Source organism: Homo sapiens, chromosome 8 (genome assembly GCF_000001405.40).
Source record: "Homo sapiens chromosome 8, GRCh38.p14 Primary Assembly".
Classification (NCBI taxonomy): Eukaryota; Metazoa; Chordata; class Mammalia; order Primates; family Hominidae; genus Homo; species Homo sapiens.
Window position 1 is genome coordinate 123,503,608 of NC_000008.11, and position 18,368 is coordinate 123,521,975.

Genomic DNA, 18,368 nt, shown 5'->3' on the forward strand with positions numbered 1-18,368 from the left:
GGAGCTGTGAAAGTAGATTTCATGAAGACAGAGAGTAGACTGGTGGTTACCAGAGCCGGGAAAGGGAAAAGGAAGGGGATGCAGAGAAGTGGATCAATGGGTACAAATACACGGTATGATAGAAGGAATAAGACCTGCTGTTAGATCAGTAAGTGAATGTAGTATATAATAATCTATTGAATATTTCAGGCTGGGCACGATGGCTCACACCTGTAATCCCAGCACTTTGGGAGGCCAAGGCAGGTGGATCACTCGAAGTCAAAAGTTCAAGACCAGCCTGGCCAACATGGCAAAACCCCATTCTACTAAAAATTACAGAAATTAGCCTGGGTGTGGTGGCATGTGCCTGTAGTCCCAGATACTCGGGGAGGCTGAAGCAGGAGAATTGCTTGAACCTGGGAGGTGGAGGTTGCAATGAGCCGAGGTCCCACCACTGCACTCCAACCTGGGTGACAGAGTGAGAGAGACTCCGTCTCAAAAAAAAAAAAAAAAAAATCTACTGAACATTTCAAAATAGCCAGAAGAGAAGAACTGGAATGGTTCTAGCATAAATAAGTGACAAATATTTAAGGTTATGAATGTGTCAAAGTACATTGATTTAATCTTGACAAATTACATGAATTACATTATCGCATGGACCCTGAAACTACGTACATCTATTATGCATCAATGAAAAAATTTTATAAGTCTGGAAAAACTAAAAGCTATGTGTTTCCATGTGTAAGTGTGTGTACCCGTACACACAGAGAGAGGAGGATTTAAGGGGGAGTGGGTGGAACGCAGAAAAAAGTAAACATAAGAAAGTGAAGAAAATGGAGGTCTATAAAAGTCCTTCCCCCCCACCCTCCCAGGCACTGAATCAGTTTACCCTCACTTTCAGCTGGGGGCTGTGATGGGGAAGAGGCGGAAAGGCGCTGGCCTCACCATGCTGGCTGGCACTCTTGGCTCTTAGGGGCTGGGCTGGGGGTCTGTGGCAGCCACCTCTGAGACACATACCTTCCAGGAAAGGATGTGACAGTGTTTGCAGAGCTGAAGGGTATCTCCATACTGCTCTTTCCTTGGGTAACATCGGACAAGTTTGAAATACATCTTCTTCCAATCCAGCTGCCCTTTGTCTGACAGAATTAATCGTTTGCGGATCTAAAAAATCAAATGAATAAAGGAAATGACAGGAGAGTTTGTCAAGAAGATGGCTTGTGGTTTTCCGGTTCTGAAAAGGTTTACTCTCACCCTTTCCCCCTCTTTTCAGCTCTACAATAGCCAGGAAGGAAAACTGTCACTATATAAAGAAGTACCTGCTTAGCTCTCCTCAGTTAAACAGTAGCTTTTAACCAAGCTTAAAAAACAACAACAACAACAACAAAAAAACCAGGTGGCTGGTGACATGTTACTAGTGACCTTTACTCAACTGTGGCTGGATGGTCCTTTAAAGTTTAGGTGATCTCAGTAAACAACTTTAATCTTTTCTTTGCTGTAGACTTGAGTGATCATTTCCAGGGAGATGCAATAACTGCTTGGCACCAGGGCTCTATTTTATATCTAAATATTAGTGGCTTCACGAACAGAACTTGTTGAACTCACACATCCATATAAAGAAACTGGAAAAAGACCAACAAACTTGAGGCAGCATGATGAAGGGAAACAGGCTTGGAGTTGGTGTCTGAAGGCCCAAATTCAAGGTCAGGGCCAGTTTCCTCACCCAAAGAGCTACTTCACTAATTTGGATATGTCACTTAGCCATTTGTGGCTTTAGTCCCTTCATCTGTTTAAAGTGGGCACAACAATGCCTATCCTTCCCTGGGCCATCAGAATAAAATGAAATGATATCTGTAAAAGTACTCTACCACACAGGGTGCGGTGGCTCACGCCTGTAATCCCAGAACTTTGGGAGGCCGAGGCAGGCGGATCACCTGAGGTCAGGAGTTCAAGACCAGCCTGGCCAACGTGGTGAAACCCTGTCTCTACTAAAAATACAAAAATTAGCCAGGCATGGCGGTGTGCACCTGTAATCCCAGCTACTTGGGAGGCTGAGGCAGGAGAATCATTTGAACCAGGGAGGCAGAGGTTGCAGTGAGCTGAAACTGCACCACTGTACTCCAGCCTGGGTGACACAGTGAGATTCCATCTCAAAAAACAAAACAAAACAAAAAGTACTGTAAAGCACTCAGAAAATGTAAGTTATTGTGTTATAGAAAAAAAGGATGGGTGCCAATTTATGATTTTTTTGAGTGAGTTGTAAAATGAGAATAGGTTAAGAATGTAAGTTTAATTTTTTCCATAAAAACTACCTGAAACACACACACACACAACATCTCTATTTAAAAACTCAGACAGGGTGGGCATGGGGACTCATGCCTGTAATCCCAGAGCTTTGGGGGTGCCGAGGCAGGAGGACTGCTTGAGGCCAGGAGTTTGAGGTCAGCCTGGGCAACATAGAGAGACCCTATTTCTACAAAAACAATAATAAAAAAATTATCCGGGTGTTGTGGCATGAGCCTGTAGTCCCAGCTACTCGGGAGGCTGAGGTGGGAGGGTTGCTTGAGCCCAAGTGGCTGAGGTTACAGTGAGCTATGATTGCATCACTGCACTCCAGCCTGGGCCACAGAGCGAGACCCTGTCTCAAAAAACAAAATCACAAAACTCCTTCAACTGTCATTTTTCAGTCAAACCAGGGAACCTGGAATAGGGGGAACCCAGACCTCAGGCTTGAGCAGGGCACCAAGGAAGTTTGGGGTGAGGGCCAGAGAAGGAGGGTGGGAGGAAAGCCCACTGGGCCTTGCTGACCTGCCGCTCGGAGAAGTGGTACTGGCAGAGTTTCTTCCACAGCAGCCGGTCTTCGCTGAGCACGTGCAGGTCGGGGGCAGCCTGGCCCAGGCTGACCAGGTCCCGCCCGTCGCTCAGCCTCTGCATGATGTTCAGTTGTAGGCACAAAGGCAGGTCAGTGAAGGTGAGGCCTTTGAAGGCAGGCTGCAGAGAGAAGGGTGACAATAGGTGGGGGGGCCAGAGAGCAGCGATTCACCAGGCCACACCCTCCAGGCATGCAGCTGTGCCCGTCCTCCACCCTCAAGGCAGTTTATTGATAAGAGGTCGAAAGCAGTAGTAAATCTCCCCATCCTAAATGCAGACAGGAGACCATGGCCATGACCCTCAATGAAGTGTGGAGTGCGCTGAGCTGAGTGGTGCCAGAGGGATCGCCCTACATTTCCAAAGCTTGAAACTTTCACTCTTAAAGACTCTCCAAATAGCGCATGTGCTTTACTCAGTTCACACAATTACAAGGTTCGCTGCTTTCCTGAAGGCCTCACTGCCCTGGATGGAGTGGCCCAGCCTGCCACCCCAAGTCCCATCTCTCTGGCCCCCCTCCAGACATCAGGTCCCTCCAAGTAGGTTTACTCACTGGCACCTAAACACACCTGGCTCAGCCTGACCTCAATGCCTTCGCCTCCCCAGTCTTCTCTGCCCGGCCACGTGGTCATCCTGCTCAGATCCAGTTCAAACCTACTTCCTCTGAAAGGCCTTTTCTGTTTTTGTGACTCCCTTACTCACTGCACCTTCCTAGAATTCTTAGGATCTCTTTGAGACACATTTTGCAATATCCTTCTTTTTGTCATGCAACATGAGCTTTTTTTCTAAAAGAAACTTTGAAAGGAACATTCTTGCTGGAACTTAAGCTCTATGAAGGAAGGAATTTTAATCTTTTTTCACTACTGTGTCCAGGGTGTCTACAAGAGTGCCCAGCACACAGAAGGTGCTCAACAAATACCTGTGGAATGAATGAAGCCCAAATAATTAAATAGGTAGAAAACAATAACACAGAGACTCTGTGCTAGGGTGTGTGTGTGTGTGTGTGTGTGTGTGTGTGTGTGTGTGTGTACGTGCACATTGGGAATGGCAGGTCCAGAAGCCTTTGGCCCAAGCTCCACCATCCCTTGAGACTTCTCTATTTCAACCGAGGCCTCCGTGGAGCATTGTGAAAACTGCTGGTCTGTGGATGATACCTTGGCAATTAATGGCGAGCTTCTCCAAGAGCTTCTGGTACATCCCTGAACTTATTAATATATTTAAGCCTTTATTGTTTTAAATTTTGATGAGCTCATGATACCCTGCCCAGATCTACATCCTTGAAGGCAGGGTCTAATTTTATGTCCCTTGTAGACTAGCCCAGCACAAGCCACCTCTCCTGAGTGCCTACTATGGCCTGGTGCTGAAGTGGCTGCACTGAGCTCTTCAGGCTGGTGAGAGACCCAGAGGCAGAAACAAATAATCATAAAATAATATGAAATAATACAGTAAACGCTGTCATGGAGGGAAGCACAAAGCGCTGTGGGAAGAATCTGCACCTGGGAATCCGCATATGTATTTGCTGATGTGTCTTGAACAGCAACAGGATGCTGCCATCCAGATAAGTCAATAGACCACCTGGGACTGCGGTTCCTTGTCCTGCCCCTGCTGGTTCTGGGTGAGCTCTTGATTTTGGACTACTCACATTTTTCCATCAATGTTCTGTGACCTCTGAGAGGTCACAGGGGAAAAATAATACAGGATGAAGAAACCCTTCCTTAGCTCAGGGGAAAATATCCTGAGAATGGGTATCAATTTCCCTGCCCAAATTTTTACAGGAGCCAAACTCTGTACAAAGCACATCGAAGCCTAAACACATGGAGGATTCCAGGAGACACTAGGTCTGGGCAGTTCTCTCCTGTGTCCCCAGCAAGGCAGGGTAGGCACGAGGTGGGGAGGGAGCAGTGGCAAGGGGCCTTGGGAAGGCTAAGCTATGGAGAAGAATGGGAGGTGCAGGGGAGCAACATGGATGGACAGGCAGCACATCTGGATCCCAGCTCCCCTGGGAAGTCTCCCCATGTCCAAAATGAATGGCTTAGAAGACTCTGAAGATCCCTTCCAGCTCCAACAATCTCAGATGTAGAAGGACTTCAGCCTCCTATTTCATTCAAAGTATCTATGACTTGACAATTTATACCGCTCGGTTCTACCCCAGGCTGCTGGGCAGAGCTCTCAATTGTTTGCAAACTTCAGGTCTTTGCCAACCGCAGAAGGCCCTAGACCTATTTATCGTTTATCATCTCCTGCTGATCATATGAGCTAATAAAACTGCCATGAGATTTTCTTTTCGTTTCCAACACTTCAAAGCCTCTACTTTTTTGGTTAAAACTCCCAGGCCAATTATTACATTAACTCCTATTAAAGGCAAGTCCACTTGGCAGGGTTCACTCTGTCAAATTTTCAAACCTGAACTTTTCCAAAATCCTTGCCCAGACCCCATGCTAAGCCCTTCCTCCTGATAAGTGGTTAACTGCTTACATGCCTCTTCCTTTCGAATATAAACGTATAAAAGAAAAATTAGTCACTCTCGCTCCTCTAGTCAAGCATTTGGCTAACATCCACTAGGGTCTATGTCACTCCTCACATGCTTCAAAACAGTGCCCTGCCCACCGCATACTGTCACTGTATTTGATTTTTTCCCCAAGACCCAGTTCTCTTAATTTGTTTCCTTCATTCTTTATTATATTAATTATTTTGCCAATAAAAATTGGCTCCATAGAATTAGATATAAAAATTTTGCAGGAAAACAAAATTTTATGCTGGAAGGAGACTGACAGAACTTTGGCAAAATAGAAAGCATTTACTCTGAAAGTTGACTTTATATTTGCCTATAATAATGTACTTTTCTTTGGGCCAAACTGTTAAAAAAGTAAGTTTTAAAATACAGTCCAGACTGAAGTAATTAAGTCTTTTTTCTTTCTCTCTCTCTCAATTTCTCTTTCCTCTGCAGAGTTGAGCTTCTGTGTGGAGGCTGGGCTCAGTGGCTCATGCCTGTAATCCTGGTACTTTGGGAGGCTGAAGCGGGAGGATTGCTTGAGCCCAAAAGTTCGAGATCAGCCTGGGCAAGATGGTGAAACGCCATCCCTACTAAAAATACAAAAATTAGCTGGGTGTGGTGGCGAGTGACTGTAGTCCCAGCTACTCGGGAGGCTGAGGTGGGAGAATCATGTGAGCCCAGGAGGCCAAGGCTGCAGTGACCTAGGACCATGCCACTGCACTCTAGCTTGGGCAAGGGGAATAAGACCCTATCTCAAAAACAAACAAACAAACAAACAAACAAAAACAAAAAAAGAAAAGCCCTTTAAGGCTCCGTGGGTTCCAGTACAGCTCTCAATATAAGGAAGCTCAGAGCCAAGGAGGGTTGGGACAGAGGACAGTGGGAGGAAGGTACAGTGGTTGAAAGCACAGCCTCTGTGGACAGGCCTGGGTTCAGTTCTTGTGCCACATCCTACTAAGCATGAGGCATCAGCCAAATTATTCTTAACTACTTGTTCTAATTGTTCTCATTTATAACATGAGAAAAAGCTTATCCTACATTGTTGCTGGGTGGGGCAGATGAGATAATACATAGAAGCACTCAGTACAGCGCCCAATAAATGCTAGCCACTGTGATGACTCCTATTTACAATTCTTCACTAGGTGAGTTAATTAATACATGCAAAGGACTTAGAAGAAGGCCTGCACAGAGCCAGCCCTTAATAATAACAGCTGATACATTTACAATACTTACTGTGCATTAGGCACTGTGCCGTCTGCTTTCTATATGTTAACTTATTAAATCTCATACCATGGCTATGAGTTGACACTATTGCAACTATTTTCCAAATGAGGAAAGTGAGGCATGGAGAGACTGAATAACTTGCCTCAAATCCTGCAGTTGGGGCCGGGCGCGGTGGCTCATGCCTGTAATCCCAGCACTTTGGGAGGCTGAGACAGGCGGATCACTTGAGGTCAGGAGTTCGAGACCAGCCTGGCCAACATGGTGAAACCCTGTCTCTACCAAAAAATACAAAAATTAGCCGGGTGTGGTGGTGCATGCCTGTAATCCTAGCTACCGGGGAGTCTAAGGTAGAAGAATCACCTGAACCCAGGAGGTGGAGGCTGCAGTGAGCTGAGATCACACCACTGCACTCCAGCCTGGGTGACAGAGACCCTGTTTCAAAAAAAGAAATCCTACAGCTGGTAAATTATTATCATCATTCATAATACAGGGCCATGTTTTCCAATTGTGTTCCTTTGAACACTGAACGAGTACTCAGGCAGGCAATGGGAGGAGACTCCCTTTCAACCATTCATTCATTCAGCTCAGATTTACTGACTGTCTCCGGCTCTGTGCCAGGAACAGGGAATAGATGGGTAATGTCCTTTCTTTGTGGAGTTTATAAGCCCATGGACAGAGACAGAAAAGTGCACACACATTAGACAATTTCAGATCATAGCTGCTCGGAAGAAGGTGATATGATGGTGATGTCCATAGATTGGATGGTCAAAGAAGGCAGCAAGCTTCAAAGCCCTGAGGCAGGGCCAAGCTTGGAGTGTGCAGAGAATGGCTTGGCTCGGCTGGAGCTCCTCGTGCAGAAGAGATAGTGAGTGAACTTCAGTGTTTGATCTCTTCTTCATGGGATCTCATTGGATTAAAGAGAGTTTTTTAAAAAGCTGGATCATTGGATAAATAGTTGGAAGAAAGCTGGATTGAAAAAGTTTGGAAACCACTGATGTCAAGCAAGCTTTGCCATTTTAGGAATACGGAATCCAAGGTTCTGGCCTCAGCTCTGGCCCTAAGTGCTGTGCATCGCTAAGAAAGTCACTGGGTGTCTCTGGTCCCCACTCCACCTCCACTCCAAGAGGGGTAACAACAGCTACAATAGCTAGCTCCGAAGAGTGTTTGTGGATGAGCTAAGGAGGGTTCTGAGCATGTGAGCCTATGGCAGTGCAGGGTATGTGGACAGATGTGGCCAGGAGGGGTCCTTGGAAGTGGACAGAGGGAACAGAGGCAAGCTCCAGGCAAATGTGACCATCTAGAGGTTTTTTGTTTTTTTTTTTTTTCCTTGAGATGGAGTCTCAGTCTGTCACCCAGGCTGGTGAGCAGTGATCTTGGCTTACTGCAACCTTCAACTCCCAGGTTCAAGTGATTCTCCTGCCTCAGCCTCCCGAGTAGCTGGGACTACAGGTGTGTACCACCATGCCTGGCTAATTTTTGTATGTTTAGTAGAGATGGAGTTTCACAATGTTGGTCAGGCTGGTCTCGAACTCCTGACCTCAAGTGATCTGCCTGCCTCGGCCTCCCAAAGTGCTGGGATTACAGACATGAGCCACTGCACCTGGCCAACTGTGATCGTCTAAATGGGTGTTCTGAAGTTGCTGAAGGGAAGTGCCCTTGGGACACATGGGACCCGCTTGTTTATATCACTGGCTGGACAGTTCTCTCCTGGCCTTAGAAAAATCCCAGTCAGTCAGTCCAGGCCATAGAGAATGCCAGAAACCAGGTAGAATGTGTATGTGGGTTTTCTGTGAGAGATAAGTTGGGAACTTGGGTCTCACATTCACATGGTCAGACTATCTGCCTACACTTGAGATGTGGGAATGGGGTAAATTATTAGAATAAATCAGGTAAATGTTCATAATAAATATGTACATTCTCTTAAAAAAATCAAATACTTGAGATCATTTCTGAAAGATGACTTGCATCCGTGCTCTGCTCTGTGTGTGTGTCTGTGGGTGCAGCGTGTAGGTGTTGTAGCCTAAGTGGCTCTAAGGAAGTCACATACCTCTGAGCCTTCGAATGATTCTGTTTCACAGCTTAAAAAGTGCAGGTACAGAGACGTAATTACCAGTAAAGTCAGGAACATGCATTTTGAAAACTTCATCTAGTAAAACAGTTATTTAAAAGAAGCCAAAGGATTTCTTCCTGCTACCTTCTCCTGATATGAGGCAACCTCAAACTTTATCAGTGTGGGTCCCGGAAACCACTTAAGCCAGTTACAGTCAGTGATGAGATAAATAAGCAAAGTGCTACATGAGCCGCCTGAGTGTGTCTGTCCTTTAGTGAGCCCTAAGAGATTACACCAGCGTCTTCCTCCCTTTTTTTTTTTTTTTTTTTCTTGTGCCTTGGTCCTCCTGCTCACTATTAGGAGGACAAGAGCTGAGGGCCAAGCTATGTTGTGAAAGCCAAAAGAAACAACTGCTATAGATCGCCAAACCTCACTGGTAATATACGGCTTTTCCTTTTTGCTTTGAGAATTGCTCATCATTTTCCCACATGTAAGTTCACAGACTTTAATCAAAGGCTTCCTTTGTCATAACTACCAATAATCGGAACTAGGATTTTAAAAGGCTGGTACCAGTTCTCCAAGCTACTGCCTTCCCAGCTCTACTGTATTCAAGACAGCAACCTAAGGCTGCAAACAACTCATGCTTTAGGAGGAAATGAGCAAAGAGACATCTCTGAACCCCGCTAAAGATTTCAGCAGGATGGCCAGCATCTCCCCAAAAGCCAAGTTTCCAGCTTTCCCATAATAGTTCACCAGGCTGTCATCTTTCATGTACTTTGATCCCGTTTTGCCAAGTTTTTCTTCCCACTTCCCTTTATCAGGAGGTCCCCCAGCCCACCCTCAGCACCAGAACAAAGCAGCAGATCAGAAAAGACCAGACTCTTCCGTCACAGGAGTGAATTCAAAGTCTTGGCGAGTCTGTCCAGTATCCCTGTGGAGGGACCCACTGCCGGGAGGAGGCTGGGCCTGCCCGCTTACCCTGGTGATCTGAATGTTGTTCAGCTGCTGCTGCCAGTGGAGAATCGTCTCCATCCGATACACCCACATGTTAATGTTCCCGACCAGCACAGACTTGCCGACTCTTTGGACCAGTGTACATAAGGATGTGTAGAGGGTCTGGAGTAGTTCCCTTATTAGTCTAATGTTTTGCTGGTCTTCAAGGACTTGAGTAGGGAAGAAAAAAATAATTAAAGTTATGATACTGGAACACCCTGTATTTTACACATGAGCTTGTCTCTGTCTGTATTCCACTCATGTTACCCAGGCACTGCCTCTGGGGATATGGTTTTCTTCCTCACCAGTGTTTATTGTACGCTTGGCCAAGCTTCTGCACTTGAGGTTAAAGGGTAGAGTTTCCATTATCTAGGTCCCTCTTTGTTCTCTTCTCTCTCATTTTCTATAAAGCCTCTTTCTCTTTTCATTGTTCTCCCAGCAGCCATGGTTCACCTGATCAGAAAGCCACTCCTTTTGCCCAGAAGTGACCCCGTTTAGGACAGTCAGTGGAAGGAGCATGGTTTCAGGGGTTTGGAGCCTGGGTTCTAATCCTGTCTGGCTGACTCTCTGTGTGATTATGGACAAATCACTTCTCCTCATGGGCCTCAGTTTCACCATGTGTACAATGAGTCAGTTGAACCAGAGACCTAAGGTTCCTTCTAGCTCGAATAGTCTACGAATCTATTCTGACTTTGTACACATGTCGATTTTCTAGGAATTTGGGACCCGGAGGCTCGGTAGCCAGTGTTGGGACCTGTGTCTACACTGAGAAGCCTACGAGGCTTATAGTAGGGCAAGTGGATGGTCCCAAAGAAAGGACAGGAGGGTGATGGTCTCACCCTTTGCCATGAGGATGAGTTGTACCCCTTTCCGAACTGGAATTTAGTGTCTCTAAAATGTAGCTGGAGTTATTCATTTCCATCCATTCACATGTCTTTAAGTCTAATGACACGTCCACTTCATTGGAAAATCCATCTGCCCACCTCCATGCCTATAAAAAGGGGCGAGAGAGTGAGAGAAGGCTCACCTTTCAGTACCACTTTTTCCAAAATATTCATGAAGTTCTTTTGGGCGATGCCACTCAGGGATGTGAGCTGTGACTTTGCTATCAGCTCCAACAGCTGAGGATAAAAATAGAAGTTGCCAGGCTTAGAGTACAGAGATATTTTTCTCCTCTAATCTTCACTTTTGAGTCCCATGACACGTGGATACAGACTGACGGGGAGAGATAAATGGCAGGCAGGGCCACAATGCAATAAAAAGCAGATGCTCAGAGTGAAAGATAAATGGGGTAATTCAAAACCCAGGATTGGGTTGAATATTTAATTGCTTTTCTTCTTTTAAATATAAAGAATTTTGGCTTCAGCCAGGGCTAATTCAATCTACTTGTCCTACTTCAGCAAGTGAAGCTGACGTACCCTGAAGGGAACAAAATCTCCCATGACCTGTGAATGGCTGAGTTCTGCAGAATCACCTCCCGGGGGAATTCTTCTGCCCCCGCTTGAACTTCTTCCTTATTGGCACTGACTGCTCTCAAGGCACCTAAAGCCCATCTTCAGCAGCCATGTGCACTTTTTCCATGGAAGTGGAGAGTCTTATCCTGATACCTCCTGCTTCTGCAGTGTTCAATAAACATGTCTATTAATTAGACTCTTTCACTGCACTTACATTTCTGTAGAAAGACGCCAATCACAGGAAGAGAGAGAAATTCAGGGATGTATTTTATATGATGTCACTGTGGCTAAAAACTTGGATCCTTGTAGCTCTTGGCCTTAGATTCAGGTCTTGATTTGAACATGTATTAGCTCCGTGATGATGGGCAAGTTACTATATTTCTTGGTGCCCCACCCAGTTTGTTCATCTATACTAATAATATTTAGAGTCTTTAATACAAGGTTGAGTATTTAATACCTTTAATACAAGGTAGAGTCAATAATACAAGGTTGTTGTGAGTGATAATAGGAGAATGCACATAAAGCCCTCAGCAAGTACCTGGCACTAATTAGGTGCTAAATAAAGGGTTTTCTTTGTTTTGTTTTTTGAGACGGCATCTTGCTCTGTTGCCCAGGCTGGAGTGCAATGGTGCAATCTCAGCTTACTGCAACCTCCGCCTCCCAGGTTCAAGTGATTCTCCTGCCTCAGCCTCCTGAGTAGCTGGGATTACAGGCATGTGCCACTACGCCTGGCTAACAGTTTTTTTTTTTTTTTGTATTTTTATTGGAGACAGGGTTTTGCCACGTTGGCCAGGCTGCTCTCGAACTCCTGACCTCAGGTGATCCACCTGCCTTGGCTTCCCAAAATGCTGGGATTACAGGCATGAGCCACCGCGCCCCGCCAGTTTGTTTGTTGAAAAAGTATGTCCCATTCCTACCAACCCCATAATTGCCAGACAAAAATAAATGAAGATAATAACTGAAGTTAGTGCGTACTTAGTCCAATCTTTTTTACCTTCTATAGCAAAATTCTTTACTGACATGGCAAGATTAAAAAACAAATAAAGGCCAGGTGCGGTGGCTCATGCGTGTAATCCCAGCACTTTGGGAGGCCAAGGCAGGTAGATCACGAGGTCAAGAGTTCAAGACCAGCCTGGCCAACATGTGAAACTCCATCTCTACTAAAAGTACAAAAAATTAGCCGGGCATGGTGGCACATGCCTGTGCTCCCAGCTACTCAGGAGGCTGAGGCAGGAGAATTGCTTGAAGCCAGGAGGCAGAGGTTGCAGTGAGCCGAGATCGTGCCATTGAACTCTCGCCTGGGCAACAGAGCAAGACTCCATCTTAAAAAATAAAAAATAAAAAACAAAGATCCTATTGTTGAAAAATGAAACTTTAGACTGGAAGGAATCTTAAGAGACCATCTAGTTTAATCCACTTAACAGATGAGCAAAGCGAGGCTCAAGAGACCCACCTTATGAGCCACTCCACAACTAGTGAGGACTCAGCAGAGTCCTTCTCAACACAGGAAAATATCACACTTCATGCTTTCAAAGAGTTAACAAACAAAAGAGGTTGATATAAAGTGAAAGTAATTAACTTCACGAGAACCCACCAGGCCCCCAGAGAAAACTATTAGGCTGGTGCAAAAGTAATTGTGGTAATAACTAGCCTGAGACTCAGTAGACTAGACACAGAGAACCGAGACCCCTCCTTTACACTGAAGCTAGAATCTCCGCTCCTAGGAAACTTTCTAAGAGAGTTTCATCTCCTGGCCAGGCCTCAGCCCAGCTTCATTTCAGATCAATAAACACTGAGCATGACACTGTGGTGGGTGCTGGAATCAAGGCTGAGGGAAGAAGCAAAATGAAATTTTAAAGATTGGGTTGCAGAGGAGAATGGAAACTTTTGGATCAACGGCCTAGGCAATTCAGAGCACCTCTGCTTCCATGGCATTTGCATAACATGTTTGTCCCCGTGGAGCTCTTTAGGAGCCTGTTAAACCACACACAGACTTTTAATTTCCTGAATGTAATTTTACTTTACATATTAAAAAAAGCCACCCCCAAACCAAACTCCTTTTTCTCCCTGGCTTCTGTATCTTTTCCACATGCAGGGAGAGATGAGGCTAGCTGACTGGGAGGAGGAGGTGGTTTGTTGCAATTAGTACTGGTGATCTAGTTGGAAGTCAGGAGCTCACCGAGTGTCTGCTGAAAGAGGCGGGAAATCAAAACACCAGTAGAGACCATGGCCATGGGCGGTGACCACACCGAATGCTGTGGTTTAGCTTTGCCACCAACCAGCACGTGACAGTCAAGAGAGGAGTGAAAATGGCACAAAGGGACTGGCCAAACCTTTCATTTACCTCCCTGACCAACAGCAAGATTCGGAAGGCCAAGATGATGGTCTATTAATACCCTGATCCTCACATGACCAACATGAAGCAGATGAAAGAAAACAAAAGCCTCGGGTCGGCTTTTGAAGGGCAGTCAGCTGTGCACTGTGACTCATCACTGGGTAGGAGGTGGGGCAAGGGGTTGGGAGGAAGGCAGCCAGAGCTCTGCCTGAAATCCATCCAAAACCCAGATTCCATGTGACTACCATCTCATGAGGGTGTCAGTTTTAATCTTGTCAAAATATGCACCAATCACAAGGACAAGTAAACTCTCAACACTATGACTGTGCACTGGAGGAGAAACGAACTGTCTTTGGTCTGATTATCTTCTCTAAGGAGAAGGAGGAATATAGCAGCAAAAATTTGTCAACTGACAGCATAACGACATGTTAACCATTCTGTGCTTCATCCTATCTCAAGGGAAAGTCCCCCCTACCTTTTTTTTTTTTTTTAACTGTCAGACAGCTGTGGAGTCAGGAGAAAGAACCCTGGAAGAGGAGAAGACCTGGATTCTCTAGCTGGGTGACCTTTGTAACTGTCATTCATTTAGCAAGTATTTTCTGAGTGTCCACCCTGTGCTAGCATCGTGGTAGGTGACAGGGACATGATGATGAAGACACATGATCCCTACACTCATGGAGTTTGCTCTTCAGCCTAGAGTGTAAGTCATTTAATCCCTCTGAACTCCTGATTCTTCATTTCTAAAATGGAAATAAAAAGACTACTTACTTCACAGGATTGCTATGAGAATTAAGTAAGATAAATATGTACAAATCCACAGTAAATACCAAACATAAGGCATTTTTATTATAAGATATTATTTCTTTCCCTTTAAACTCCAGTCTTTTTGTGAAGTTTAAAGTTGACATCAGGGGTTAGCAAACTTTTTCTGCAAAGTGCCAAACAGTAGGTGTTTTAAGGTTTGTGGGCCACGTGGTCTCTGTAGCAACTACTCCACCCTGAAGCTATAGCACCGAAATGGCTATAGACAATGTGTAAATGAGTGGGCATGGGTGTATTCCAATAAAACTTTATTTACAAAAGCAGGTGGAGGGCCAGATTTGGCACCTGGGCTATGTCACAGTTTCTGGTATATATCATAAGAGTTTAAGAGTGAGGGCTCCAGAGGCAAACTGTCTGCCTCAGTTTTCCCATCTTCAAAATATGCACAGTAATAGTACCTACTTCAAAGTTGCTGTGAAGATTAAATGTATTCACATAGCACTCATAACTGTGCCTGCTACAAAGAATATACTCGATAAATTATTATTGTTAGCTTTTACCATAATACAGAGCATTACCAAGTAAAATTATTGCCAATCAGGAAATAGTGAGTTAACAGGGCAAAGTGCAACCCATTTAAAGACCTTCAGAATTGCTGTATTTCAATTGTAGCTGTTGTCAAACAAATAAATAAATGCTTTCACACTGTAATATTCCTTTCTGTCATTTTACTATGTTGGTGATACATTTAATAGCACCCTATCTGTTGATAAAAGTTAATGCTGATACATTTTATGACTTGCATAGTTTTTCTACCATGGAGTCTTATTTTGCTAACAATAACAATAACAATGGGGTGCTTACTATGTGTCAGCAACTGCAGCTAAGCACTATACATTTGTAATCTTGTTTATCTTTTACAGCAACCCAGTGAGATAGCTTCTCCATTTAACCATTGAGGATATTGAGGCTCAGAGAAGTACTCACCTAAAGCCATACCAGCAGTAGCAAATGCTGGAGCCAGGACTTGAGCCCAGATATGTCTAACAGAGAACACATTTTCTTTTTTTTTTGTTGAGACAAAGTCTCACTCTGTCACCTAGGCTGGAGTGCAGTGGCACAGTCATGGCTCACTGTAGCCTTTACCTCCGAGGCTCAAGCTATCTTCCCACCTCAGCCTCCCAAGTAGCTGGGACCACAGGGGCACAGCACTATGCCTGGCTAATTTTTTTTATTTCTATTTGTAGAGACAGGGTCTTCCTAGTTACCCAGGCTGGCCTCGAACTTGTGGGATCAAGCGATCCTCGTGTTTCAGCCTCGCAAAGTGCTGGGATTACAGGCATGAGCCACTGTGCCTGGCAGAACATATATTCTGACAGTTTCAGGACTTCAGTTTGTCAAGGCCAATCAATTTGCATGGAGGGCCAAATTTTACTCCAAAATGGGAGCAATACCATTTATTGTTATGTTCTGGGGAAACAGAGTCTAGAAAATTTTATATAATATTGGGCTGGGCGTGGCGGCTCACGCCTGTAATCCCAGCACTTGGGGAGACTGAGGCAGGCGGATCACGAGGTGAGGAGATCGAGACCATCCTGGCTAATGGTGAAACCCCATCTCTACTAAAAATACAAAAAATTAGCCGGATGCGGTGGCGGGTGCCTGTAGTCCCAGCTACTCAGGAGGCTGAGGCAGGAGAATGGCGTGAACCCGGGAGGCAGAGCTTGCAGTGAGCTGAGATCACACCACTGCACTCCAGCCTGGGCGACAGAGCAAGACTCCATCTCAAAAAAAAAAAAAAAAAAGAAATTTTATATAATAATATGTTGTGACTGGTAAACAACTTTTAATATTAAGGGCACTGTAATGCTCAGAAAGTGCTACCAGCACATTTAGGATGAGGCAACTGCTTTGGGTAAACCACAGAGTCTACTTTCCACATCAGCATCACTCTATAGGCCCAGAGCTACTACTAGGTAGTGATGTATGGAACTAGTAGTGAAGAGAGCAGAATTTACCGATTTTTAAATTTTTTAATTTTTGAGACAGAGTCTTGCTCTGTTGCCCAGGCTGGAGTGTAATGGCGTGATTTCGGCTCATTGCAACCTCCACCTCCCAGGTTGAAATGATTCTCCTGCCTCAGCCTTCTGAGTAGCTGGGATTACAGGCACCCGCCACCACACCTGGATAATTTTTGTATTTTTAGTAGAGATCGAGTTTCACCATGTTGGCCAGGTTGGTCCTGAGCTCCTGACCTCAGGTGATCTGCCTGCTTTGGCCTCCCAAAGTGTTGGGATTACAGGCGTAAGCCATCGCGCACAGCCCAAATTTATCGATTTTATTTGTGTTAAGAGAGCTGCGTGCCTAGGAAAGTAGGTTTGTATCTAGCAATCTGTGTACCAGGATGACTTAGCCAATTGGATTCTTTGCCCCTAGCCACAAGAGAAAAAAAGAACAGAGGAAAATGTCTTGTTTGGAAGTGGCTGCTTGTTTTTGACTGGGCAAATTTTAGCCCAGGTGCTAGTAATTTGTGGCTATGTTTAAAGAGAGGCAGGGGGAGGGAAGGGGAAGGAGGAGGAGGCTTCTCGGCTCCTCTGGAATTCCGTGGTGTCATTATCGTGTGGGCACTCTGGGCATCCGGCATGATCTGCAGTGACGAGCCGTGCAGTACCAGGAATGGCTCTGAGCTACTGGAGGGAGGGATGGTGGTCACCGCATGCTGAAACCACATCCTGCCCTTCAGCTTTGGCTCATGCTAGTTCTGGAGGCAACGAATAGGAGACAAATCTAGTTGCAAGCAATATCGTATAGCAAATCTCAGAGCGGATATCAACCAAAGTTTGAAGTGGTGTGTGCAAGACGAATGGGCAGAAGAGAGATTTCCCTCTTATCTCACTGCTCTCGTATCAAGAGCAGGCTTCTTACGTCTTCTTCCCTACAGTTTATTTTAGCATAGCATTCATAGTTTTAAAAATCCATCAGTTCACGTTACTTCTTTGCTTAAAATCCTCAAATGGCTTCTCCTTGCGCTTAGGAAAAAACTCAAGCTCCTTACCATGACTGGCAAGGTTCTCCCTGATCTGGTTTCTACCCCTTTTCCAGCCTAGTTTTGCACAAATTCACTCTGCTCCGGCTACACAGGTTATTCGTCTCTCGAATAGGCCAAGCTTATTCTCACCTCTGGGCCTTTGCCTCTGCCACATCTTTACATGCTCGGCTCCATCCCATCCCTCAGGTCTCAGTTCAAACGTGGCCTGCCCCGGGCTCAGAGGGCCCTTCCCTGGCCATCTTATGCAAAAACCTCCCTGTTGCCATCTTCACCTTACTATGGTTTCATTGTTCTTCATTGTTGCATTTATGCATATCTGAATTGGTCTTGTTCACTTACTTGCTGATAGGCTAATTAGGATGGAACCCTCAAGACAGCAAGTGTTGTCCTGTTTCCCACTCTACCCCCAGCTTGGCACATGGTAAGCACTCAACAAATAGTGTTTTTTAAAACATACATTTGTCTTTTTGAATCAAAGAGTGTTGTAGCTGGAAGGGACTCAGGAAACAGTTTACCCGAATTTCCTCCTGCTATAGATGAGGTGGCTCATGATGGCCAAATGACACATCAAGGTCAATGGTGGACCATCTGGCTGGTCAGGCTGATATCTATATGGAGACTAGTTCCAGACTGATGCCCCAGGAGTGGCATGGGCCTAGGAGTAAATTATTTATAATGCAAACATATCTCAAACACTTTCCAGAAGGGCAAGCAGCCTGAGATCTGGAGGGACAGTAAACACTTGGGCTTTCAGAAGCATCAACAAAAATAGCAGCTTCCTCTACCTGTTAGTTTAAAAGGACAAAACCACAAGGCTGCTGCCTAAGCATGCTCTATCATTCTCATACAGAATTGTTAAGAATGAGAACACAATTTATCCCCAAATTCCTTATCTCGTATAACAGTGGGGTGTTACAGTATGAAGTATGTGTCTGACTGGAAAATCTGCCAGAGTTATCAAAGGCAGAAACGAGTCCCAGCCTCAAGCAGCCTTGCCATGCCTCACATGCTCAATACCCAAGTTGGGTGCCCATCTATAGGAAGGTTGCGTCTTCTATAATAAACCTTTAGTTAGACTAGGCAGTGTCTCTCTCTGCTCTGAGTGCTGGGTACTTCCAAGACCCTTATTTACTCAATGAATAACACAGATAAAAAACCTGGAA

At 45.1% G+C, this 18,368-nt stretch overlaps 1 protein-coding gene across 3 annotated transcripts in view, besides 1 other annotated feature; it reads right to left on the minus strand.

Moving 5' to 3' along the window:
* The window catches only part of FBXO32 (F-box protein 32), a 43,318-nt gene that overhangs the window by 5,719 nt on the left and 19,231 nt on the right, over positions 1 to 18,368 (minus strand). For 2 of the 3 annotated variants that reach the window (NM_058229.4, NM_148177.3), the window contains 4 exons: positions 10,633 to 10,726; positions 9,591 to 9,775; positions 2,785 to 2,967; positions 997 to 1,140 (listed from right to left, as the gene is read on the minus strand). In NM_058229.4, coding sequence (NP_478136.1) covers positions 997 to 1,140; positions 2,785 to 2,967; positions 9,591 to 9,775; positions 10,633 to 10,726 — 606 coding nt within the window. The remainder of the gene's footprint in view (positions 1 to 996; positions 1,141 to 2,784; positions 2,968 to 9,590; positions 9,776 to 10,632; positions 10,727 to 18,368) is intronic. The other variant, NM_001242463.2, reaches the window with a different exon arrangement.
* Positions 2,878 to 3,422: an enhancer, noted in NCBI's record as "H3K4me1 hESC enhancer chr8:124518725-124519269 (GRCh37/hg19 assembly coordinates)". NCBI's record gives its function as "activates a minimal SCP1, AML or CMV promoter by ChIP-STARR-seq in naive H9 embryonic stem cells {active_cell/tissue: H9 hESC(naive)}" and the evidence as "EXISTENCE:reporter gene assay evidence [ECO:0000049][PMID:30033119]".